The sequence below is a fragment of the Homo sapiens genome, chromosome 16 (genome assembly GCF_000001405.40).
Source record: "Homo sapiens chromosome 16, GRCh38.p14 Primary Assembly".
NCBI lineage: Eukaryota > Metazoa > Chordata > Mammalia > Primates > Hominidae > Homo > Homo sapiens.
In genome coordinates, this window is record NC_000016.10 from 46954624 (window position 1) to 46979286 (window position 24663).

The window sequence follows — 24663 nt, forward strand, 5'->3', positions numbered from 1 at the left end:
TTCTCATATAAGGTACTTATACTGTACCAAATGGTAAACAGAAAACTGTTTACTTACCATTGTGTTACAACTGCCTATGCTAACAAGCTGTACAGGTTTGTAGTCTAGGAACAATACACTACACCATATAGGTGTATAGTCGGCTACACCACCTAGGTTTGTGGAAGTACACTCTGTTTGCATGATGAAACCGCCTAACCATGCACTTCTCAGAATAGGTCCCTGCTGTTACTGTGCTGATCCATGCTGCCGACAAGGATAAACCCTGAAAACATTAAGCTAAATGAATGCATCACTAAAGGCCACATATTTTGATCTCATTTATACAACATGTCCAAAATAGGCAAATATTTAGAAGCAGAATTAGCCATTAGTGATTACACCAGGAGTTGAGGAGAGAATGGAACAGAAAGTGACTTAATGGATAGAGGGTTTCTTCTTTGATGAAAATGTTCTGAAATTAGTGGAGATGGCTGAATATACTGAAATCAACTGAATTGTGGCAAATTTTTTAAAGTGGTAAATTTTATGGTATGTAAATCATATCTGGAATAAAGCTGTTACAAAAAATTATCTGTGCTGGTGACACTGTATGGTTGGTTCTCTCGACAGGTGCTCTACAAACTAGAGCAAGGAGACCAAGTGAAATAACACACCTTAACAGAAACTCTCTTCCAGTAGTTTTCTTGCCTACAGTCAAAACACCTGGGTAGAAATGAAAGACAGACTACACTGAACAACTGTTTTATAAACCTTTATTGGAAAGGCTACAAACTTTATATTGCCACCACATTTCTTATGTTTAAAGTGGTTGTGGGGAAGTAACCTTGGATACAAAACTACTATGCTGTTGAATCTTACCCAGGCTTGTTGTAAAATATTTTTTGTACAATGGAGGTAGAGTGGATAGGTCAATAATTTAAACCTCACAGGACTTGATTAGTGTCAGCACACCTTTTTTCATTCAGGTTTTCAGGTTCTAGCAGACCTAGAAATAAACTACAAATACTAGATTTAGGCTCAGGGATGGCATTTAATACATTTAAAATTTTTAGTTTTCAGTTTTCCCCATTTGTTCCTTTATAAATGTAAAATTGTGCATCTGATGTCTCTTTCCTCAAATAAGTGTGTTCTAAAAATACCTACTGAGTGAAATGGTAAAAACCAGATGATGGAAAGAGAAACACAACATCCGTTTCATCAATTTTACCTGATTTTTCTCAAACCAGCCTTTTTTTTTTGCTTATTTTTAGTTTGAAATATAAATAACTACAACAATGCATATTTCAGTTGCCTTCATTCTTAAATTCTGAATAAGCATCTTACTTTTCTATAAAACATTACAGAAACTCAAAATAATAATCAATGGCTTCTCCAATTCCAAATATTCAACTTAATGGAGACAGCATCTTTTACATTTAATGAAAACAGAGGATTTGAACACGTTCTATGCAGACATGGTTTTACTATAGATTTGCTGTTACCTTATTTTTTTAAGGGGGTGGTGGTAGGGAGATACAGAAGTCAGGCTAGCCCAGTGCTTGGGAGTTACAGCACTCAAGACACCCTGGCCTCTACAGAGCATCACTGAAGCCACTGAAGACTGTCTCTACCAGCCTTTTGTCTTCCAAGACTATAAGATGGGCATAGGCCTGAGATATAAGCTTCAGGCCAATGGGTTTTTATGGGCTGTTTAAGAACCAGTACTAAGGATACATTCTTTTATGTTTTTCCTTCTAAAAATGTGACACAAAAGAATAATTTACACCAACCGCTTTTTATTATCGAGTTTCAGAAACCTTTCACAAGATGGTAAAAAAAAAAAAAAAGAAAAAAGAAAAAAAAAACAAAACCAAAAACAAAAAAACTTTACAACCACAGCTAATGTAATTTTTTCCATTGTTCCCAGTCAGCTCCAAACCCATTGTGTGCAAAGCCCATTTTTTTCCATGCATCTAAATGATAGATACAGGCTATGAAATTCTTTATTCTATTTGTAGCAGCTTATGCAGGTGCAGCCAAACACAAAGCTTCAGGACAAATTGTACAAACTTTACAATGTGGGATTTAAATTTAAAATATGAAACATAAAAATCTACACAAAACTGATAAAAATCAAGCACAGATACCAGGATTGAAACTTATAATAATCCATGTGTGAAAGGGAGTCTTGTTTCCTTTCAAGTGCTTTATTCTGCTATGGAACAGTCAAAATGAAGATGTAAAGCTTTGTGGTTAGTTTAAATTATACACTCTGTAGATACTATACCAATTTTAAAAGTTATACATAGACCAACAGATGTCCCTCAGTTCATCTGGATTGATAAGACACTCCAGCTGGATTGCTGAGAACAAATCAGGCAAATGTGGAAAGAAAATCCACCTGTGCAATTTGTTTGCAGAGTTTACTGATGGGCACACTGCACTCCAGGTCCATGATGGCTGCTGCTTTCTTCATCAGAGCTATCATTATAGGCTTCACGCCTCTGACCACCTCCTGAGCCTCGAGTGCTATCAAATTCCTGAAGCTCTACCTCCTCTGTTTCTCCAATTATGTTAGGAACTTCCGGTCTAGATGGCAGAAGATCTTCTAGTTCCTTTATTAAAACAAACAAAAACCAGGTTGGTTGTAATATTTTCATCAACTTTCCTTTTGATACATAGAATCCAGTGTCTGTTTAAGAGTTTAAAAAGGGGCTGGGTGTGGTGGTTCATGCTTATAATCCCACCCAGCACTTTGGAAGGCTGAGGCGGGCGGATAATGAGGTCAGGAGATGAGACCAGCCTGGACAACATGGTGAAGCCTTGTCTCTACTAAAAATACAAAAAATTAGCCAGGCATGGTGGTGGGTACCTGTAATCCTAGCTAGTCAGAAGGCTGAGGCAGGAGAATCGCTTGAACCTGGGAGGTGGAAGTTGCAGTAAGCTGAGATTGTGCCACTGCACTCCAGCCTGGGTGACAGAGCAAGACTCCATCTCAAAAAAAAAAAAGTTAAAAAAAGGAATGTGGACTGGACTTTGAACTCTAAGTAAAAGATCACAAACTCATCACTCACAGGCCAAATTCTGCAGACATCTTTTGTGCAACCCATCTATTGCTTTAAGAACCAAAAAAAAGGTCATTATCTGCCAATACTTAAACATTAGAAAGTTTCTACAGGAGACACACCTTCCTGCATCCGGCATGGACACCAGCTTACGATAAAGGGGTAGTGGTCCTGCCCTCTGCAAATGAGGAACCTGTTCTCTCCAGGGAGTGCTACTCCTCATCACCACCCACACCGGGTCTACTTTACTCCTCTACAATTCCCTGCTTGGCCCCATCAACATTTACACCAGCAATACCCCATTTCCTAACAACTAGGAAAGCCTACCAATCACACAAATATACTTTAAAATTGAAAGTAACATGACTATTAAGAAACTTGAAGTCGGCTGGGTGCAGTGGCTCACGACTGCAATCCCAGAACTTCGGGAGGCAGGAGGATTGCTTGAGACCAGTCTGGACAACATAGCAACATCTCTATAAAAAGTTTTAAAAAGCATTAGCCAGGTGTGGTGGTACACACCCGTAGCAAGCCATGATCATGCCACTGCACGCCAGCCTGGGCAACAGAGCGAGACTCTCTTAAAAAGAAAGAAACTTGGCTGGGTGCAGTGGCTCACGCCTGTAATCCCAGCACTTTGGGAGGCCGAGGCAGGTGGATCATGAGGTCAGGAGATCGAGACCATCGATCTAACATGGCTAACATGGTGAAACCCTGTCTCTAACTAAAAATACAAAAACAAAATTAGCGGGGCGTGGTGGCGGGTGCCTGCAGTCCCAGCTACTTGGGAGGCTGAGGCAGGAGAATGGCATGAACCCAGGAGGTGGAGCTTGCAGTGAGCTGAGATCGTGCCACTGCACTCAAGCCTGGGTGACAGAGCAAGACTCCATCTCAAAAAAAAAAACAAAAACAAACAAACAAAAAAACCCCATAAACAAACAAACAACAACAACAACAAACTTACCAGGCATCGTGGCTCATGCCTGTAATCCCAGCTACTTGGGTGGCTAAGGCATGAGAATCACTTGAACCTGGGAGGCGGGGGGTACAGTGAGCCGAGACTACACCACTGCACTCCAGCTTGGGTGACACAGTGAGACTGTGTCTCAAAAAATTTTTTTTAAATTAGCCAGGCATGGCAACACACACCTGTAGTCCCAGCTCCTTGGGGGCTGAGGTGAGAGGATCGCTTCAGCCCAGGAGGTCGAGGCTGCAGTGAGCCACGATCACACCACTACACCCCAGCCTGGGTGACAGAGACCCTGTCTAAAAAACCAAAAACCGAACTCCAAACTTGGAAGTCAACTGTTGTTTAATTTAAAGAACACTTACAGAAAGCTTGTCTGGGTTGATCCAGTTGTTTTCAGGAAACTGCACATCAAACTTTATGTAAAGATCACCTTTTTCAAAGGGATTACGATACTGCGGCATCCCTTCACCTCGAACTACACGAACACACCCTATTATTTAAGAGGAAATGATTAATAATTTTACCCAAAAGAGGTGTTCAATTTTTTTTAGAGTTATGCAGTATAAAAAAATTACAAATTGTAATTTTTTTCAAAAATACTTGAAAACCAGAATCGGACAAAATCAAGATTTACCTGGTTCAATTACTTTGCCAGGGGGGTATTTCACCACAATCTGACGTCCATCAAGGTGCTTAAATGTGAACTGAAATCCACATAGAGCTTCAACAAGTCCTATTTTATATGTCATGTGCAAATCATTCCCATCTCTCTGAAATACCTATAAATAAAGCACAAAAGAAATACATTTTCTTAAAAATTATGGAGGTACACCCTGCAGCATTATGTTCCTTGACTTAATTTCAAAACCTTATTTCTACCACTCACTGCAAATCCAAAGTGCCACTGTCCCTAGTGCCCTAAACCGCATTAGGAAAGCTAGCTATTCCCAAGTAGTATGTGAGAAACTTCCATGAGGAAGGTGTACTGGAACTGGTAAACAATGGCATATATAAGAGCAACAGAACTGAGGCCCTCAAAACAGTGCCAGGTATATTCTGCAACTATTGCCCACTTTCAGACTCTGCCTCTGGTGAAAAAGGTACAGAATGCCCAGAGGGCTCCTACAGAACAGGCTCACCCTGGAGTGCTCCCCAGACATGATCGTAACAGGGAAGGGGGGAGGGTCCAAGATCAACATAAAACCCAACATCAACCAGTTAACACCCAGCCAGCAAAGTCAAGTGGCTCAATTCCGTGCTTCACACACATACCAACAAGTCTCACATCTCACTAAAATGCAAAACTGGCTCATTCAATATTACACTATAAGCCTATGGACTAGGTAATGCAAAAGGTATTGAGAATAAGCACAAAGAATGTTTCTGAGCCTTCAATGTGTAGGAAAAATACATCCAACTTCACACGCCCAACCTGCAATTTTTGCTTAGATTTTACAATGGTCACTCTTCTTGTAAAGAACAATCCTGGCCGGTTCACTTATAGAAAATCTGGTAGACAGGTTCTTTTCCTATGTTACTCTCCTAAATTTACTCATTAAACAAAGTTAAACCATTACCTTAACCAATGATTCTCTAAGTGTGGTTCTGGACCAGCAGCTTCAGGAAACTTGTTAGGAACACATATTCTTGGGCCCCACTTCCATTCCTGCCAGAAACAAGGCAGGCAAGATCCAGCATCTGTAGTCCTAACAAGCCCTCCAGGCAATTCTTGTGTGTGTGCTAAAGTTTGAGATCCAAGAAGGTATGTTATGTATGCACATATATTCAAGTGTTCCTCACAATGGGACCAATAGTTTTTTTAATGCAGGATTTTTCAACGCATTAAAAATGCTAAGTAGGCCAGGTGCAGTGGCTCACACCTGTAATCCCAGCACTTTGGGAGGCCAAGGCAGGCGGATCACAAGGTCAGGAGTTCAAGACCAGCCTGGCCAATATGGTGAAACCCCATCTCTACTAAAAATACAAAAATTAGCCAGGTGTGGTGGCACGCGCCTGTAGTCCCAGCTACTTAGGAGGCTGCGGCAGGAGAATCACTTGAACCTGGGAGGCGGAGGCTGCAGTGAACCAAGATCACACCACTGCACTCCAGCCTGGGCGACACAGCGAGACTCCATCTCAATAAGAAAAAAATAAAAAAATTTAAAAAAGCTAAATATAGGGTCAGAGCTTTGGGAGGCCAGTTCAAAACAGCAACATAGGGAGACAAAAAATTAAAACATAAACTAGGCTAGTTGAGGCAGGACGATCCCTTGAGCCCAGGATTTGGAGCCTGCAGGGGCAGTCCCTCCTCATTAATGATCCAGCCACTGCACTCCAGCCTGGGAGACAGAAGGACATCCTGTCTCTTAAACATAATAATAATAAATTTAAAATAAATGCTAAGTATACTGTAAAATGCCAGTGTTCTAAGAACCATCTTACCAAATATCCTTTGTTAAAGTCATACTATTTTAGGATGCATGCAGTGGCTCATGCCTATAATCCCAGCACTTTGGGAGGCTGAGGCAGGTGGATCACCTGAGGTCCTGGTCATCATGGCGAAATTCTGTCTCTACTAAAAATACAAAAACTAGCTGGGTGTGGTGGCATGAGCCTGTAGTCCCAGCTACTTGGGAGGCTGAGGCAGGAGAATCACTTGAACCCGGGAGGTGGAGGTTGCAGTGAACAGAGATCGCGCCACTGCACTCCAGCCTGGGTGACAGAGTGAGACCCCATTTCAAAAATAAAAACAAAAATAAAAAGTGGGGCAGGGCACGGTGGCTCACACCTATAATCCTAGCACTTTGGGAGGCCGAGGTAGGCAGATCACTTGAGGTCAGGAGTTTGAGACCAGCCTGGGCAACATGATGAAACCCCATCTCTACTAAAAATACAATTGCGCCACTACACTCCAGTCTGGGTGACAGGGCAAGACTGTCTCAAAAAAAAAAAAAAGAAAAGGGAACAGGAAGAGATACACATCACGTTCTTGTACAGGAGAGTTCAACTGAAAGTGATTTCAATAAAAAATGATTATGATTATCAGGATGGTTGTTGCAGCAGAGCGGGGAAGCTAAACAATTTGATGTTAAAAGTTTAAACAGAATAAACAAGCAAGGATGCCAGAGAGTTTCTGAAAAACAAGATTAATGAGGAGGGACCACCAAGCACTAGACCAGAAAACACTTAGAAGTCATATTTCTGAATAACAAAAGTACAGGTTATAGAGGCGTGACTAACATCACCAGGTTCTGTGGTTTGATGCTGTACAAGTGCACTATGGTAACCAGACCACCGAGACACACAAACAGGCACACTGACAAGTGACATGGCAGGATGATGACTATAGATGATACAGCACTCCCAAGAAGGAACGAGACAAACTTCCATTCTAACCTTTACCATCTTCTATTTTCTACTTTAGACAACTAGCTACATCTGCCTTCTGTTGAAAATTCCATGCCAATTCCACTGCTGCCAACAATTTTCAGAGATGAGTTACTTCCCAACACCTCCCCACAGGCCCCAAGAAAGAAGCTTATTCATAATCTCATTTGACTCTTTAATATCCAAAAAGTCCAGGGAAGCCAAAGCTAGTAAACGGGGCCCAGACCTTAAGTCCTTTGCCTCCAAATCCAATGATCTACTTTTAAAAACCCAATTTAATTATGCAGCAACATTAAAAACTAAACTTAGGGATAAAAAAGGTTTTACCATCAGTTTGACATGCCTCAAACCAAAAAAAAGTCATCCTTCCTCTGCAAATAAGCATTCCTTCTTCACTTCCTATCATGCTGCTGCACTGCCAGACATCATTTGACAACGAACCCCAAACGACTCCAAGGATTCTATCAATGAAAATGCCCAGGCACTGTCTGTACCATTTTACAACACAGTCTAACCTCCAAGCAGAATTTCCAATTATTTAGCTGTCTTGCTAGCTTTCTCCCTCATATTCCTGGTATGGTGGTGTGCACAGCAGCAAGACTGAAGGAACAAGGAAGTAGCTAAAATGTTAACAAATAGCAAATCTTGTAAATATTTCATTCTACAAGACCCAAAGGCAGAATTCTAAAAACTACTCTTACTTTTTGACAACCGAGGAGACGTTTGCTATCTGTAGGGTTGGCAATTTCCACAAAAAGCCAAAATACATAATTTGTAGCTTTGCTGAGTCATGAAAGCTGACTAGCATGCCCTGATTGTCCAGGAGATCAAGTCTGACCTTGTGAGGGATTACTACCAAATTCCTAAAACCTGCATCTCAATATGGCTTTGTTGTTCTCTATTGGATTCTTAAAGTGATTTTTAAAATTTACTCTATTTGAAGAAATGATCACCACAGAAGGACGATCTCCTTCTTTATCAAATATAACCTTTAAATTATAAATGATAATCAGCTTGCCCACCTTTTTAGAATTAAAAAGAATAACCTTTCACTGAACATAATACAAATTTACCATTTCTCCGTGTTCATTGGGCTTATGCATAGGAGAAAATTTTAGGGCAAACTAAAAAGGTGGTTAACCTGTGATGTAATGATTTTCAGAGGAACACATGAGTAAATGTGATCAAGTACAAAGCTAGAGTCCTATCAAGTGCTTCTAACATTCAAGAATTTAGGTGATTACTGGAGGGGTTTTTCATGAATAGTTCCAGATTTATTCTTTGAGTAGGGTCTACAGTATACAATATGGACATTAAAAATATACAAGTGCAATGTTAAAATCAAAATAACATACACTAGGCTGGGCACTGTGGCTCACACCTGTAATCCCAGCACTTTGGGAAGTTGAGACAGGAGGATCGCTTGAGCTCAGAAGTTCAAAACCAGCCTGGGCAATATGGCAAGACCCTGTCTCTACTAAAAATACAAAAAAAAAAAAAACCCCAAAAAACAAACAAACAAAAAAATAGATGGGCATGATGGTGCACCAGTTGTCCCAGCTACTTGGGAGGCTGAGATGGGAGGATTGCTTGGGCCCAGGGGCGAAGGTTGCAGTGATCCCAGATCACACCACTGTACTCCAGCCAGGGCGACAGAGCAAGACCATCTCAAAAACAAAAACCCCCCAAAACATACACTAGTGACCACATTCTTCAGAAGCTTCTAAAAAAATATTTTTTTTAAAAAAAATCCCAGAACCCTTTCAAGGATAGCTCACTTGGGTACCCAATAAGTAAAAACCAAATCGACAGAGCAGCAGAGTTTCACAGTGAAAATACAGGCTGCCTTAGATCAACTGGTCCAACACCCAGTGCCCTTATTTTCATAAACAAAGAAACTGAGACAGTAAGATTACCTATGGTTAAAGTGTTAGTCAATGACCAGGCCAGAGGAGAATCGCTTGAACCTGGGAGGTGGAGGCTGCAGTGAGCCAAGATCGTGCCACTGCATTCCAGCCTGGGTAACAAAGCAAGACTCCGTCACACACACACAAAAAAGACCAAGGCCAGGCGCGGTGGCTCCCGCTTTTAATCCCAGCACTTTGGGAGGCTGAGGCAGGCAGATCACCTGAGGTTGGGAGCTTGAGACCAGCCTGACCAACATGGAGAAAGCCTGTCTCTACTAAAAATAAAAATTAGCCAGGAGTGAAGAAGCATGCCTGTAGTCCCAACTACTCGGGAGGCTGAGGCAGGAGAATCACTTGAACCCGGGAGGCAGAGGTTGTAGTGAGCCGAGATCGCACCATTGCACTCCAGCCTGGGCAACAAGAGTGAAACTCCAACTGAGGGGCAGGGGGAAGAAACCAAGCCAGGACTAAAACTGACTCTTACAGTGCTTCTAACTGCACCTGCCTTGTTAGTCTTTCTTACACAAGCCCGTCTTAGGAACTCACCATGATGCCCTTAACTTCACCAGTGTTCAGTGTTGCTCCAGGGACTCCAAACAGATCTAACCTATTTCTCACAAGCAAGAAGTACTTCTGAATAAAACAAAATACAAAAAACTAAAAAAAGGAAAATCACCTCATGTTCTTTCTCCTGTAGCAAAAGAACAATGTCTCCGGGTTCCACTCCTGGGGCCTGGTCTGCTTCCCCAGTGAATGTAATTCTCTGTCCATGTTTCATGCCTTTGTCTACGTGGACTTCAAGAATCTTGACTTCTTTAATCACCTTCTTCCCTTCACATTTTTTACAGCGGTCTTTTTCATTAATTACCTCTCCTGGAAAGAGAAGTCATTGAAACTTTCAGCAAGAGTACTATACTGTACTCTTAATACCCTTATTCTTTAAATATGCTTTCTGGACTTCTTTTAATCACTACCTAAATTTTTATTCAAAGCAGCATTCTGAGGCCAAGCACAGTGGCTCAAGCCTGCAATCCCAGCATTTTGCGAGGTCAGGGTGGTAGGATCACTTGAGCTCAGGATCTGAGACCAGCCTAGCAACACAGTGAGACCTTGCCTCTACTACAAATAAAAAAAGTTAGCCGGCGTGGTAGTGCACACCTGTAATCCTGGCTACTGGGGAGGCTGAGGAGGGAGGACTGCTGGAGTTCGAGGCTGCAGTTAGTTATAATCATGCCACTGCACCCCAGTCTGGGTGACAGTGTGAGGCCATGTCTCAAAACAAAACAAAAAAAAGCACTATTCTGAATAACAAAAACTTACATCTTACTACTGCAGACTGCCTGAAGGACTCAGCTTCCCACTATTTCAGAATGTAATGTATCCATACCATGTTTAGGGCAACACAGCTTTTCTCTTATAATTATGGTATTAAAAAGCAAAACCGTGATTATACATATTATAGTGTGAAAAAACTGCGTCACTTTCTAATGGCTAATTACCAGCACATTTGAAGGCTTAGAAAGAAGTGTATAACTGATTATTTAGGGACTGTTTCTGTAACAGTACTTGTGCAAAGTATGTTCTGCAAAACACGTTCTTCAAAATGGTAATAGTGGCCGGGCATGGTGGCTCACACCTGTAATCCCAGCCCTTTGGGAGGCGAAGGCGGGAGGATCACCTGAGGTCAGGAGTTTGAGACCAGCCTGGCCAACACGGCAAAACCCCGTCTCCACTGAAAATACAAAAATCAGCCGGGCGTGGTGGCAGGCGCCTGTAATCCCAGCTACTCAGGAGGCCGAGGCAGCAGAATCACTTGAACCAGGGAGGCAGAGGCTTCGGTGAGCTGAGATCACGCAACTGCACTCTAGCCTGGGCAACAGAGCAAGACTCCGTCTCACAAAAAAAAAAAAAAAAGAAAAAAGAAAAATGTAATGGTACATGAGAAAGATTTCAGTTAACTTTGGTTTCTTGATAGTGGGAGTTAGCAATTATAATAAAATAAAAGCAGGCCAAGAGTGGTGGCTAACACCTGTAATCCCAGCCCTTTGGGAGGCTGGGGCAGGAGAATTACTTGAACCCAGGAGTTCGAGACCAGCCTGGGCAACGTGGCAAAACCCCATCTCTACAAGAAATACAAAAATTAGCTGGGCGTGGTGGCAAGCACCTATGGTCTCAGCTAATTGTGGGGCGAGGGGCTGAGGTGGAAGGATTGCTTCAGCGTGGGCGGTGGAGGCTGCGGTGAGCCGAGAGTGTGCCACTGCACTCCAGCCCAGGCGACAGCAAGACCCTATCTCCAAAAATAATAATAATTTAAAAAAATAAAGTAAAATGCCAAGACTCTCCAGGAAGGAAATATCATATGTAACTTCTCATAATTATCTCATCACTTCCAATAGCAATTTGGAAAAGGATGCTATTGAACTATACTGTCAAATATGGTAGCCACTATCAACCTGTAGCTACTTGTTTATGTTTAAATTAATTCAAATTTAAAATAGTTCTCCAGTCACACTAGCCACATGTGAAATATGCAGTAGTCACAGGTGATTAATGGCTACTGTACTGGACACTGCAGATACAGAACATTTCCATCATCACAGAAAAAAATTCTATTGGATAGCACTGCTCTAGAATGGCAGGGGTGGGAGGAGCTATGTGTTTTTATAATTAAAATTTTAATCAGAACACAGCCATATCCATGTGTCTGTGGCCATAAAAGCACTAAAAGGTCAGAGATGAGTAGTTGTGACAAAAACTATTTGGCCCACAAAGACTAAATTATTTACTTCTGTAAGGACAGCTTCAATCTCAAGATCAATTCTGAAAAGCTAACTAAAGGTTACAGTGAAATCTTCCACTTATCAGAATAACTAAACAACTACTTGTTTAGTTATTTATTATTTGATTATTTGTCCCTTTGTAGTTTAAAAGGTTCTATGTGATAAAGGAGATAGTCCTCCTATGGTGGTCATTCCTACAGAGAGAGTAAATAAAAGGTTATATTTGATAAAGAAGGAAATAGCAAAGGGACAAATAATCACCTTGCTCCTCTTTTCTGAATTAAAAAGAGTCACCTTTCACTAACACAATACAAATCTACTGTTTCTCTATGTTCACTGGGCTTAGGCATAATGGAGTAATTACTTTCACACTTTTATCTTTTATTTTTTGCAACAGGGTCTTGTTCTGTCACCCTGGCTGAAGTGCACTGGTATGATCACAGATCACTGCTCCCTCGAACTCCTGGGCTCAAGCAATCCTCCCGCCTCAGCCTCCCACGCAGCTGGGACCACAGACATGCCCTGAGCCCCTCATTACATATTTTTCCACACTTTTTTTTCCTATAGTAATGAGGTCTCCCTATATTGCCCAAGCTGGCCTCAAACTCCTGGGCTCGAGCAATCCACCTCTGTCTCCCAAAGTGCTGGAATTATAGGAATGAGCTAACGCACCCGGCCTCCTTTTTCTTTAATAAGATGTATACAAATACCCTTTGAAATAAAAAATTGTAAACCTCTCCAATATCTGCATTCCCAATCCATTCCAACATAAAAGCAGAGAAGTACTGGCACACATACCTTCTCCATTACAATCAGAGCACACAGACTGCATCTGTTGTACCATCCCTGGAGCCAGCTGTCTGATCATGATGCGCACACCTCGACCTCGACAAGCACTACACTTTTGGACAGCTCCAGACTTTCCGCCTTGGCTAAAGCAAGCACAAGTTATGCATTAGGTTTTTGTCCACAAACCACTCCAATAAGCTATGACACACAGAAATTGTGCTTTTACCTTCATCTTCAACCCCAATAACTTGTATTTAAATTGACTTCCAGAAGTATCAGAAAACATTCTGCTAAGATTTTTTTACTTATTTATTGAGATGGAGTCTCACTCTGTCACCCAGGCTGGAGTGCAGTGGCGCAATCTTGGTTCACTGCAACCTTCACCTCTCGGGTTCAAGCGATTCTCCTACCTCAGGTGATCCACCCGACTCGGCCTCCCAAAGTGCTGGGATTTCAGGTGTGAGCCACCGCACCCAGCCGTAAGTTTTAACTTATAACAATTTTTACGTGGTACAGACATTCAGTGTGATACTTAAAAGAACAGACAAAATGTACCCAATAAACCAGAAGACACACTTACCCACTGCATGCACTACAGAGCACATTCTTGCTAAGTTGTAGTTTGGTTGTCTTGCCATTATACAGATCTTCTAAAGATACTCTGGAAAGAAAAGAATCGGCTTCAATCAAATTTTGCCACATTTTGTCAAATACAAGATATAAGTAACAGCTGATACAGCAAATTCGTTATCAACTTTTAAAACAGAATTCAAAAACACCTCATAATCTCACATTAAATCAATTAAACTGAGGCTTATATTATGGCTCAAATTAACAGAAATATTTTATGACTACAGACAGTACATATATGATACCCAAAGCCAGAGCCTATAGCATCAGGCCAACAATTTGCTGTGGTGGAATTTCTGATAAAGCTGATGACTTCGCAAACTCAAATATCACAACCTTCTGTTCTGAGGCATAAGCCCTCCACCTAACTCCTAATAAAAACCCTTCAGAAGAGGTACAATTATTATTCCCATTTTATGTGATAAAACTGAGGCACAGAACAGTCAAGTAACTTGCCCAAGATCACATAGGTATCTGGCTCCAGAGTCCCTGTTTCCTCCATGGACAATTTAGAAAGGCTACAAAGTTATATTTCGGCTTAAGGGAGTCACTTAGATGGCATATGTCTTAAAAAAAATAAAAGTGGCCCTACCTATAGTATGACAGAAAGGAGGGATAGAATAGTTTTTCATGCCAGGTGCAGTGGCTCATGCCTATAATCCCAGCACTTCGGGAGACTGAGGAGGGAGGATTGCTTGAGCCCAGAGTTCAAGACCAGCCTGAGCAACTTAGAGAGACCTCATCTTTACCAAAAAATAAAAAATAATTAGCCAGGTGTAGTGGCATGTCTGAAGTCCCAGCTACCCAGGAGGCTGAGGCAGGGGAATTGCTTAAGCCCTGGAGATTGAGGCTGCAGTGAGCTGAGATCGTACCACTGCACTCCAGCCTGGGGGACAGAGTGAGACAAGTACTTATGTGTGGAGTTTTCTACTTGTGGCATCATGATGGTGCTCAAAAAGTTTCATATTTTGGAGCATTTCAGATTTCAGATTAGTAATGGTCATCCCGTAATGATCTGCTTTAAAATCCTGGGAGTTAGAGGAACAAAAAAATAGTTTAAAGTATTTTACAAAGCACCTATACTATTTTGTGATATTCAAACTTTCTTAAAATTGTTATTCTCAGAAACTTAAAACTGTTGTAGGCAGGATAAGAATACCACACGTATGGACAAAACATTACCAACAACACTGTCAAATAATGACCTATCAACAGCTGAGCTTTAGACCAAAACGCTTGTTGCATCTTGTATACTCTGCATAACAAATCATTTAAAGAAAATCGGCTTTCTTCCCCTACATATTAAATTACAATTGGTATGCACAACCAGTATCCTAAGCCAGAGAAAAATACACATCTCAACAAAGAAGGCCAAGGAAGGAAAAATGCAGGTAATGGTTTGGCAAGGCTGGCACTCTCCACTAGTGGGGCCTAAACTGGCACAATCCCTCTGCAAGGCAATTTAGTTGTATTTATCAGCCTCAAAACACTCATGCCTGCCTGGGAATCTCTGCCAAGGAGAAACAAAGCTCTACATAAAGATACTCATAGCAGCAGTATCTATTACAGAGAAAAAACCTGGGAATACCCTATATAAAAGGTAAATAAATCATAGAATGCAGTATTATAAACATAGTATTTGTAATAACAGGAAAATCTGAAATGTTAAAACAGCAGAAAACTTTCACTATATAGCATAACTTTTTTTTAAACATGAAGAACTATAAAGTACAGACAGCACTCTTTTGACCCTATTTTCTTTTTAGACCATTTCTATATTAAAGAAAAATATAAACGAATTAACCTGCACTGCACAAATATTACCATTGGAATGGTATCCAAATGTTAATTTCTGAGGGTAAATTCTTTTAAAAAACAAATTTAAGGATTCAATGAGACTCAAAGTTAACAGATAACATGACTTCCTCTAATTTACTCAAGTGTATAAACTAGGATATTATGAAATATTTTAAATAAGTACCTGAACTTCGGCCACTGACATTTGCTAATAAAATCATTTATTGGTCCATGAAAAAAAGAATGGGAAAAAAGACCTCCCAGATTTTGCAAAGTGAAACAGCTATTTTCATACTGGAGAGGGCTTGTGGATTCACAGTCTAAGACCAAGGTCAGGCACCATTCATGTGTTGGCAGGTTAAGGTCAGGCTGGAAGCCAGCAAGCTCCATGGAAACCAACTCAGAAGAGTTCACACTGAGGATCAAGTAATGAGTGACTCTAACATGTACACAAAGTAGGCAGACAGTCACTCATTTTTAGTTTTTAAATAAAAGGTAACTTGGAAGATTCATATACTTCAAAGAAAATAGGCTGGGCGCAGTGGCTTATGCCTGTAATCCCAGCACTTTGGGAGGATGAGGCAGGAAGATCACTTGAGTTCAAGACCAGCTTGGCCAACATGGCGAAACCCTGTCTCTACTAAAAAATACAAAAATTAGCCGGGCATGGTGCGGGTGCCTGTAATCCCAGCTACTTGGGGGGCTGAGGCAGGAGAACTTCTTGAACCTGAGAGGAGGGGGATGCAGTGAGCCTAGATGGTGCCACTGCACTCCAACCCGGGCGACAGGGACTCCATTTCAAAAAAAAAAAAAAAAAAAAAAAAAAGGTCGGGCACAGTGGCTCACGCCTGTAATCCCAGCACTTTGGGAGGCCGAGGCAGGCAGATCACCTGAGGTTGGGAGTTCGAGACCAGCATGACCAACATGGAGAAACCCCATCTCTTCTAAAAATACAAAATTAGCCGGGTGTGTTGGCATATGCCTGTAATCCCAGCTACTTGGGAGGCTGAGGCAGGAGAATCGCTTGAACCCAGGAGGCAGAGGTTGCAGTGAGCTGAGATTGTGCCACTGCACTCCATCCTGGACAAGAGCGAAACTCGGTCTCAAAAAAAAAAAAAGAGAGAGAGAGAAAATGATCTTCACAGTTGAAATTTTAAGTCCTATAATAACAAGCAGCCTCAGAACCATATAAAACCACCTTCCTCTCATTAAAAAATATCGACTGTCCTTTTAAGAGCTACAGCGAAATAGAAACATTCAGATAATCAAATTCAATTTAGTCACCAAAAGAAGACAAGGCAAATGGAAGTTTTTCTAATGAAGGACAGAACACTCTATGAGATTTTTCATCTACTGAGTCATTATCCCACTTGACAAAAAGTACTTAATTTTTTAAAACAACAAAACAAGATATTCACTTGAGTGGATGCATCATGTCCTCTCCTCTTCTTCTGCCATTTCGACTTCTACTCTGATTGCCCATGAAGCCGAACAATCCCCCACCAAAAATGTGAGAGAAAATATCATCCATGCCACCACCTCCGCCGCTGCCTTCCCGAAGACCTTGCTCTCCGTATCTGTCATATAACTCACGCTTCTCAGGATTTGATAGTACTTCATATGCAAAACTTATTTCTTTAAACTATAAAGAAAAGGTAAAAATAAAAATAATTGCATTTTCAAGTAGAAGAGTGGGGAGAAGCTACAGGAATCCAGAATCCATTTAATTCTAAAAAAAAAAAAAAAGGGACAAGTTACCTTTGACTTGATTCTGGTTCTATTTACCACCCACCGCTCCTCAGAATGGTAGTACTCTTATTCTAAAACTAAAATACTCTTGACATTATGAAAATGTGGCTGTGTGGGCATAGTTGGATTTTTTTCCTGCAACATTCCTCTTTTTCAAGGAGGGCAATTTAAGTTAAAGCTAAAACCCCCGGAATAAAAAAGGTGCAAATAACTTACTTTGTCTCCTGCATTTGGATTCTTATCAGGATGATATTCCTTGGCTAACTTTCTGTATGCCTTTGAAAATGGATAAAAACAAAAAAGGTTATAACTAAACACCAGTTAAAAGTTTTGTAATAACTTAATATCCACTTTTCTGAGAAGTAATGTTCTAGAGTTATAACCTTTCAAAAATATTTTCTATTCGTAGGGATTCTTCGGCACTTTCTCGCGATACTGTTTACTAATGTAATATAACCAAGTAGACAGCAGCTATACTTGAAAACAGGTTACAGTGACGTGAAAACCAGATAAAACAATGAAGCAATGCCACAGGGAAAAACAAAACGTTCAAACATTATCCATATTTTCCCTATTGTCAAGTGTCTTTGATGGCCAAGTAACCAGACCAAGACGACCCTAATAAATTCGAGATAAATGACTGTTAAGCTTTGCGGACTGCAAAACATTACTATAAATCAAGCTAAAGTCACAATTCCTGCTCCCGATGGCTCACGCCTTCCTTCTAACTGTAACATCATGAAAAAGTAAAGGTGGTCCTAGTTAGCGTCTTTTGGTGTTTTATTTGCACGTGGTGGTTAACTGGGGTCGTGGTGGCAACTTCGGTGGTAGAGAAGTTGCACACACTCTCAACGAGGTGTTTGGGTCCTAAAGCACTTAAATCTTCATTCACGGAGGCTCGTGAATTATATAATACAGACTAGCATTTCCGGTAAGGTAACAGGAAGTCCACTGTACTCTTCTCACTGCCTAAGGAGCATTCTCATTTTTCTCGGCTTACAAATCTGGATGCTCTTAGCCTGGTGAGGATGCTGTGGGGCTTAAATGCCTCGTGTGCTTTGAAATCCTGAGATGAAAGATATCGCAGCATTGCAAATAGCAATAATAAGGCCTTCTATTTATGTTTACTGTACACTCAGGCGTTTGGCTGGGACCACGGCTTATTCCTAAGCAGGTACAGGACATTAGCATTACCTGCCCAAAGAACAATGCATCCAAACACAGACCCAGCTACCTCCGGGTCAATGGGCGAGGGACGCAGAGAGGGAGGAGCTCCCGCAGCCGGCGGCCGCGGAACCCAGGAAACAACCCCATCCGCCCGAGGCGCTCTGTGGGGGCGGCCTCGACCTCCCCGCCGTTCCTCCCCGCGGAGCACCAGACCCGGGGCCGACGGCCGCGGGGCGGACAGCTTCTCTCTCGGGGCCGGGATGCGCTGAGCACCTCGGTCCAACCTGTTTTTCCGGGGTGGTGACCTCGACGCGAAGGACCGGGCGAGCTGCTGCCTCCCGGGGGATACCAGCCCCCGGCGCTCGTTCAAGGAGGGAGGAAGGAAGGGCTCCCATCGTGTTTGCGCAGGAGTGAGTTTTATTTGCTGCATCTGCGGGCGGGCGGGGCCGGCGGCCCCAAGGTCAGCCGAGGCCGGAGTGCGCGGCTCGCGGCGAGGCCGGTCCCGCCGCCGCCGCCGACTCCCAGCCCGGGCCAGTCACGGCCGGCGCCGGCTCGCGGGCAGCCCAGTAGCGCGGCCTGGCTGAAGAAGACATCCCTGGCCGCGCAGGCCCCGCGCCCCTCACACCCGCCCGGCCCGCTCCCAGATACCTTCTTCAGCTCGTTCTCGCTGGCGCCGGGCGGGACGCCCAGGATGTCGTACAGCTTCGTGTCAGCCACGTTAGCCATGGCGGCCGGCCGGGCAGTGCTCGGGGAGAAGGTGGCGAAGCAGACAGAGCGGAGTCGGGCCCACAAGCGGCGTCGGCGGCGGCACAGGCCGAGGGAGACAGCGAGGGGGAAGCGGGGGCGGGGCTGAACTTTGACCCAGCGCACGGTGCGCCGTGACGTCGCTGTGCAGAGCCCGCCCCCGAGCGCCCGAGGCGCGGCCACTGGGGTCGAAGTATTGAAGAGTGGGCCAGGTTCTCTGTTTTCCTCCAGGTCCAGGCGGCTGGGCAGGGCCAACGTAGGAAATGAAGAACTGTGCACGGCGCACCCCAGGAATTCAGCTTCCTCTCAAAAGCCATGGTTGCGAGGTCGCGTGTTTAACCTCGCACTGGCTGCTGAGGGAATTAACAGGCCTGCGCAGCAGCTTCGTTAGCTTCGAAAGAAAATGGGCCCCGGCTCCCGCAGGAGGCCCGCCTGGCGCGCAGATGTCGTTATTAGAATCCGGGACGTCGGTGGACCCTCTGGGTCTGGCTCCCTCGGGGCTTACGATGAAAAAAACTGGGGGGCGCGTGTGTGTGTATGTTGTGTTTTATATTATGAGAATTCTGAAACATTTAGCAGAAGCAGTATATTACTCCCCATAGTGCAGTTAGCTACCTTTTACCTGTTTCATTGGCTCCACCATACATTTCTAGTGTTTTAAGGGAAACCGTTTCATTCATAAATACCCTAAGTGTATATATTTAATATCTAAGAGACAACTTTTAAAGGCATAACGATGTAATCTCATCTAATGAAATTAACAATTCCTTAATCTAATTCCCAGTCCATATTTAGGTTTTTCAGATGATCTCATGTCCTTTTACAATTGGTTTGTGGCATCCGGGTCCAAACCAAGGTCCACATGTTGCATCTGGACCACGTGTTTAAGCCTCTTACTTGATAGCTTTAAAATTAGCTAACACCAGAGGTTTAGATGGTGTAAGGCAAGTCTGGCCACCAGGTGACTTGATTTACATTCGTTTTAGTTTCGCTCAGAAAGTATGCTGTGCATCTACCAAGTGCTATGATGTACAGAGGCCTGGTCCGGGGAGAGGAGTGTTACAAAAGTGCCTGCCTTCAACCCATTTACGGTTTATGGAGACAGAAAAGTAAGGTTTTCTGATCCCTTGGAACCTGAACTGATAGCAAAGACTTCAGCATAAGCATCTCACTCAGGATAATGTTTCTTCCTTGGCGTTCCCTTTGACCTAGTTGTGGAGGGCCTGAATTCCATGACAAGGACTCTGAAATTTAGCTTGAAAACCCTAAGAGTAATCAGTGATAAGTCATTAATAGTCCTTAAACCCTTTTCCTCAAATCCCATCTGAAATCCTGCTCCCTCTGTGAAGTCTTCCTTTACTGGGCACTGGTGAACACTGCTATCTCATTCGAGTTCCCACCACCCTTCGTTTGTACCTTTTGTGGTAGGATCTCGAACTCTTTTGTTTTTTTTTTTTTTTTTTTTTTTTTACTTGAAACAGCGTCTCGTTATGTCGCTCAGGCTGGAGTGCAGTGGCGCCATCTCAGCTCGCTGCAACCTCCACCTCCCGGCTTCAAGTGATTCTCCCACCTCAGCCTCTCGAGTAGCTGGGATTACAGGCGCCCACCACCATGCCCGGCTAATTTTTGTATTTTTAGTAGAGGTGGAGCTTCACCATGTTGACCAGGCTGGTCTCGAACTCCTGATCTCAAATCATCCACCCACCTTGGCCTCCCAAAGTGCTGGGATTGCAGGCCTGAGCCACTGCCTCTGCCAACCGCCATTGCCGTGTAAATGCTGACGTCATCCTCATGCACGGCTGTAAAATCCAATTCTCTACTTTTCACATTTTGAGATGTTCGTAAGAGACGGTGTAAAGTTATGGCGAGGTTAGACTGTGTAGGTTGGTAGTCTGACTCTGCCATTTAGGAACAATGTGACCTTCAGCAAGTTACTTAACTTTTCTGAGGTTTCCTCAGGTGTAAGATGGGGCTTGTTATTTTTTATATCATTGGTTTAAAAGAGTTATACATTTCTATTACTTAGGGCTGGGCGCAGTGGCCTGTAATCCCAGAACTTTGGGAGGCTGAGGCGGGATCACTCCTGCCTCAAGTCCTGATCACTTGAGGTCAGGAGTTCGAGACCAGCCTGGTCAACATGGCAAGACCCCGTCTCTATTAAAAACACAAAAATTAGCTGGGGGTGGTTGCGCACGCCTGTAGTCCCAGCTACTCGGGAGGCTGAGGTGGGAGAATCCCTTGAGCCCAGGAGGTGGGGGTTGCAGTGAGCCAAGATCACACCACTGCACTCCAGCCTGGGTGACAGAGTGAGACCCTGTCTCAAAATAATAATAAATAATTAAAATTTAAAAAATTACTAAGAAGCTAAAAGAAATTAAGTATAAACTATTGTTCTTGGCCCATATGCTTACGTTGTCTTTGCTCATTTAAATTTCTGGCTTTTCTACTGGGATTCCCTGACTTCTTCCATTACCTATGGGGAATGCCCCTCCGTCCCTTTTCATGACCTCATCTTCCCAAATCTCCTTGCTTGTCAGTTATCATTTTCTCTCGTCTCATTTCTCTGTTAGTTCCTGCTCCACGTAAGAATATGAACTGAAAATCTGTCTTTGTTGCAACCTTCATATTAATTTATCTTATTTGTTTCATATTGTTTTATCTTATTTTCCTTCTGCCCATGAACAGTTTAAAAGGGCTGGAGTTTCCTATTTGTTTCAGTTTTACTCAGTTTTTTTTTTTGCAAGAGGAAAAAATTCTCTCTTGATGCCATTTTAGCTTCTGATATTGTAATGAAGAGTAGCTGGGTAAATTCCCTCTTTTGTTCTTGTTATTTTATTTTAGTTTTTTACCTGACTAGACCAGTAACCACAGTAACTATTTTTGAATTTCATTTTCATTTCTTTGCAATATTTTCTCCATTTCTGGGTATTAATTGTAGTCAGCATAATTTGCTAATTTTATAGCTCGAGTTATTTCAGAAGAACTTTGTGTGCTTAAACTGACACAGGGTCTCCTCCCAAGGATCACAGACTGAGATAAACCTGTGTCAGTGTGAGCACTGTAATGTTCCAGCCACTAACTGTTTTGAGGTAGCATATTTATTTTGGCTTCATGTTTAGCCAATGCTGTGAAGGGAAAAGGACCTTTATCTCATTTCATGTCTCAGGCACTGTAAAATGCTGAGTCACAGTACACCTGAGCGCTGCAGTGATCTAAAGTTTGAGGCGGCAGTGATTTCAGATTTCTGCCAGGCTTATATTGGTGTTCAATTCCTTTGCTTTGATTTAGTATGCTTGTGTAACTGTGAAGGGTTGGGATGGAGAGGAGGTGGATATGGACTGGGACGGGGGGTATAGGAACTGTAGTATTTTTGAAGACCATTGATACTGTTCACAAGTAATTGGGAACTGTGTAATCCATTACTTAGACAACTCCAGATATATCATTGAGGCAGTCAGAAAATAGTTTTGCTTTCTGCTTTAACTAGGTTTGAATGTATAGAGTAAGTGATGCAGGTTAAAATATTTTGGGGGGATACAGAAGAAGGTACTGATGGTTCTTGTTATGAGGGTGTCAGGACCACATAATTTGATGATTGTTGGTACTCTGGAAAGAAAAAATTGTGGGACTTGGATCACTGAATAATCTCTGAATTTCTTTCAGTGCTTAAAGTAGATTATTCAGTGATGGGGCAGCACAGTTGTATGTGGTAGGTATTTCTAGCCCCACTGCTGGCCTTTCAAACCCAGTCGTGTCAAACCCTGCCTTATTAATTAGCATTTTCCAAAGGTTCAGTTTGCTTATATAATTGCAGTGGTATAGTAAGCAGAGAAATTGACCCAATAAATTTAGCCATCTAACAATTAGTGTGGGAAAAATAGTGGAGAAGATATGTCTATTGTGATAATATGAGATATGAATATGAATATATATGTTTTCCACATATATGTGTATATATATACACACACCTCATTACCACTGTAATATATATATAATATATACATAATATACATAAAGGCCAGGCGTGGTGGCTTATGCGCGTAATCCCAGCACTTTGGGAGGCCAAGGTGGGTGGATCACGAGGTCAGGAGATCGAGACCATCCTGGCTAACACGGTGAAACCCCGTCTCTACTAGAAATACAAAAAATTAGCCGGGCGTGGTGGTGGGCACCTGTAGTCCCAGCTACTTGGGAGGCTGGGGCAGGAGAATGGCGTGAACCCGGGAGGCCAAGCTTGCAGTGAGCGGAGATCGCACCACTGCACTCCAGCTTGGGCAACAGAGCGAGACTCCATCTCAAAAAAAAAATTCGATTAGCCTGGACAACATAGCAAGACCCGTCTCTACAAAAATTTTTTAAAATTAGCTGGGGCTGGGGAGTGGTGGCTCATACCTGTAATCCCAGCACTTCAAGAGGCCGAGGTGGTAGGATAATTTGAGACCAGCCTGGGCAACATAGCGAGTTGTTTTTTTTTTTTTTTTTTGAGACGGAATCTCACTCTGTCACCCAGGCTGGAGTGCAGTGGCACGATCTTGGCTCACTGCAATCTCTGCCTCCCAGGTTCAAGTGATTATCCTGCCTCAGCCTCCCGAGTAGCTGGAACTACAGGTGTTTGCCACCATGCTGGGCAAATTTTTTGTATTTCTAGTAGAGATGGGGTTTCACCATGTTGGCCAGGCTGGTCTCGAACTCCTGACCTCAAGTGATCTGCCTGCCTCGGCCTCCCAAAGTGCTAAGATTACAGGTGTGAGCCACTATGCCCGGCCCGCAAGATCTTATCTCTAAAAAAAAGAAGAAAGAAAAAATTAGCTGGGTGTTGTGCACCTGTCATCCTAGCTATTTGAGAGGCTCAGGTGGGAGAATCACTTGAGCCCGAGAGTTGAAAGTTACAGTGAACTATGATTGTGCCACTGCCCTCCATCCTGGGTGACAGAGTGAGACCCTATCTTTAAAAAAATATATTTTTAATTATGAGAAGAGAAGGAATTATCTGACCTATCTTGTCTGATTGTAGGTCATGAGACTTCCATTTCTGAAGGGGTCCTGTTCCATATCCTCAAGAAGGGAGTGCTGCACAGAGAGGCCATGAGGAATCTAAGCAGACAGGCCTTGCTGGGTTTCCCCACTCAGTCTGTTAATATTAGATCATACCTTTTTGTCCAGTCACATTTTTACATGGTTGTCAATTATGCCTGTCCAGTAAAGTCTCCATAAAAGGCCCAAGAAGACAGAGTTGGAGTTCCTGGATAGCTGAACATGTGGAGGTTCCTGGAGGGTGGGGCACCTGGGCATAAAAGCTCTGAGCCCCTTCCCTCATACCTTGCTCTGTGCATCCCTCCATCTGTATCCTTTGTAACATTCCTTATAATAAATTGGTAAATGTGTTTCCCAGAGTCCTGTGAGCCACTGTAGCAAAATTAATCAAACCCAAGGAAGGGTTCATGGGAACCCTAATTTCTATTCAGCTGGTCAGAGACACAGGTGAAACAACCTGGGGCTTGCTATTGGTATCAGAAGTGAGGCGACTGAGCCCTCAACCTGTGGGATCTGATGCTACCAAGTAGATAGTGTCAGAATTGAGTTGGAGGTCACCTACCTGGTGTCTACTGTATAATTGATTGCTTGCTTGTTGGTGGGGAGAAATCCCCACATATTTGGTCACAGAAGTCTTCTGTGTTAATTGAGTGCGAGAATCT

The 24663-nt window shown here is 42.8% G+C and overlaps 1 protein-coding gene and 1 long non-coding RNA gene across 2 annotated transcripts, besides 9 other annotated features; one reads left to right on the forward strand and one right to left on the reverse strand.

Moving 5' to 3' along the window:
• Positions 1-738: 738 nt before the first annotated feature.
• Positions 739-19051, reverse strand: DNAJA2 (DnaJ heat shock protein family (Hsp40) member A2). Its single transcript, NM_005880.4, has 9 exons — positions 18872-19051; positions 17273-17332; positions 16726-16949; positions 13461-13541; positions 12890-13023; positions 9988-10184; positions 4652-4796; positions 4380-4507; positions 739-2597 (listed from the first exon to the last, which is right to left on the reverse strand). The coding sequence occupies exons 1-9, from the start codon at positions 18947-18949 to the stop codon at positions 2406-2408; spliced, it is 1239 nt and encodes a 412-aa protein (NP_005871.1). The 5' UTR covers positions 18950-19051; the 3' UTR covers positions 739-2405.
• Positions 5327-5993: an enhancer, noted in NCBI's record as "NANOG-H3K27ac-H3K4me1 hESC enhancer chr16:46993862-46994528 (GRCh37/hg19 assembly coordinates)". NCBI's record gives its function as "activates a minimal SCP1, AML or CMV promoter by ChIP-STARR-seq in primed H9 embryonic stem cells {active_cell/tissue: H9 hESC(primed)}" and the evidence as "EXISTENCE:reporter gene assay evidence [ECO:0000049][PMID:30033119]".
• Positions 10553-11278: an enhancer, noted in NCBI's record as "H3K4me1 hESC enhancer chr16:46999088-46999813 (GRCh37/hg19 assembly coordinates)". NCBI's record gives its function as "activates a minimal SCP1, AML or CMV promoter by ChIP-STARR-seq in primed H9 embryonic stem cells {active_cell/tissue: H9 hESC(primed)}" and the evidence as "EXISTENCE:reporter gene assay evidence [ECO:0000049][PMID:30033119]".
• Positions 17923-18002: a silencer, noted in NCBI's record as "silent region_7439". NCBI's record gives its function as "represses an Ori minimal core promoter by ATAC-STARR-seq in GM12878 lymphoblastoid cells {active_cell/tissue: GM12878}" and the evidence as "EXISTENCE:reporter gene assay evidence [ECO:0000049][PMID:35858748]".
• Positions 18353-18422: a silencer, noted in NCBI's record as "silent region_7440". NCBI's record gives its function as "represses an Ori minimal core promoter by ATAC-STARR-seq in GM12878 lymphoblastoid cells {active_cell/tissue: GM12878}" and the evidence as "EXISTENCE:reporter gene assay evidence [ECO:0000049][PMID:35858748]".
• Positions 18453-18502: a silencer, noted in NCBI's record as "silent region_7441". NCBI's record gives its function as "represses an Ori minimal core promoter by ATAC-STARR-seq in GM12878 lymphoblastoid cells {active_cell/tissue: GM12878}" and the evidence as "EXISTENCE:reporter gene assay evidence [ECO:0000049][PMID:35858748]".
• Positions 18653-18732: a silencer, noted in NCBI's record as "silent region_7442". NCBI's record gives its function as "represses an Ori minimal core promoter by ATAC-STARR-seq in GM12878 lymphoblastoid cells {active_cell/tissue: GM12878}" and the evidence as "EXISTENCE:reporter gene assay evidence [ECO:0000049][PMID:35858748]".
• Positions 18763-18812: a silencer, noted in NCBI's record as "silent region_7443". NCBI's record gives its function as "represses an Ori minimal core promoter by ATAC-STARR-seq in GM12878 lymphoblastoid cells {active_cell/tissue: GM12878}" and the evidence as "EXISTENCE:reporter gene assay evidence [ECO:0000049][PMID:35858748]".
• DNAJA2-DT (DNAJA2 divergent transcript) lies at positions 19149-24360 on the forward strand. The gene is made up of 2 exons (NR_186372.1): positions 19149-19502; positions 23982-24360. It is a non-coding gene; the product is annotated as a DNAJA2 divergent transcript (long non-coding RNA).
• Positions 19243-19312: an enhancer, noted in NCBI's record as "active region_10782". NCBI's record gives its function as "activates an Ori minimal core promoter by ATAC-STARR-seq in GM12878 lymphoblastoid cells {active_cell/tissue: GM12878}" and the evidence as "EXISTENCE:reporter gene assay evidence [ECO:0000049][PMID:35858748]".
• Positions 19373-19462: an enhancer, noted in NCBI's record as "active region_10783". NCBI's record gives its function as "activates an Ori minimal core promoter by ATAC-STARR-seq in GM12878 lymphoblastoid cells {active_cell/tissue: GM12878}" and the evidence as "EXISTENCE:reporter gene assay evidence [ECO:0000049][PMID:35858748]".
• Positions 24361-24663: the final 303 nt, after the last annotated feature.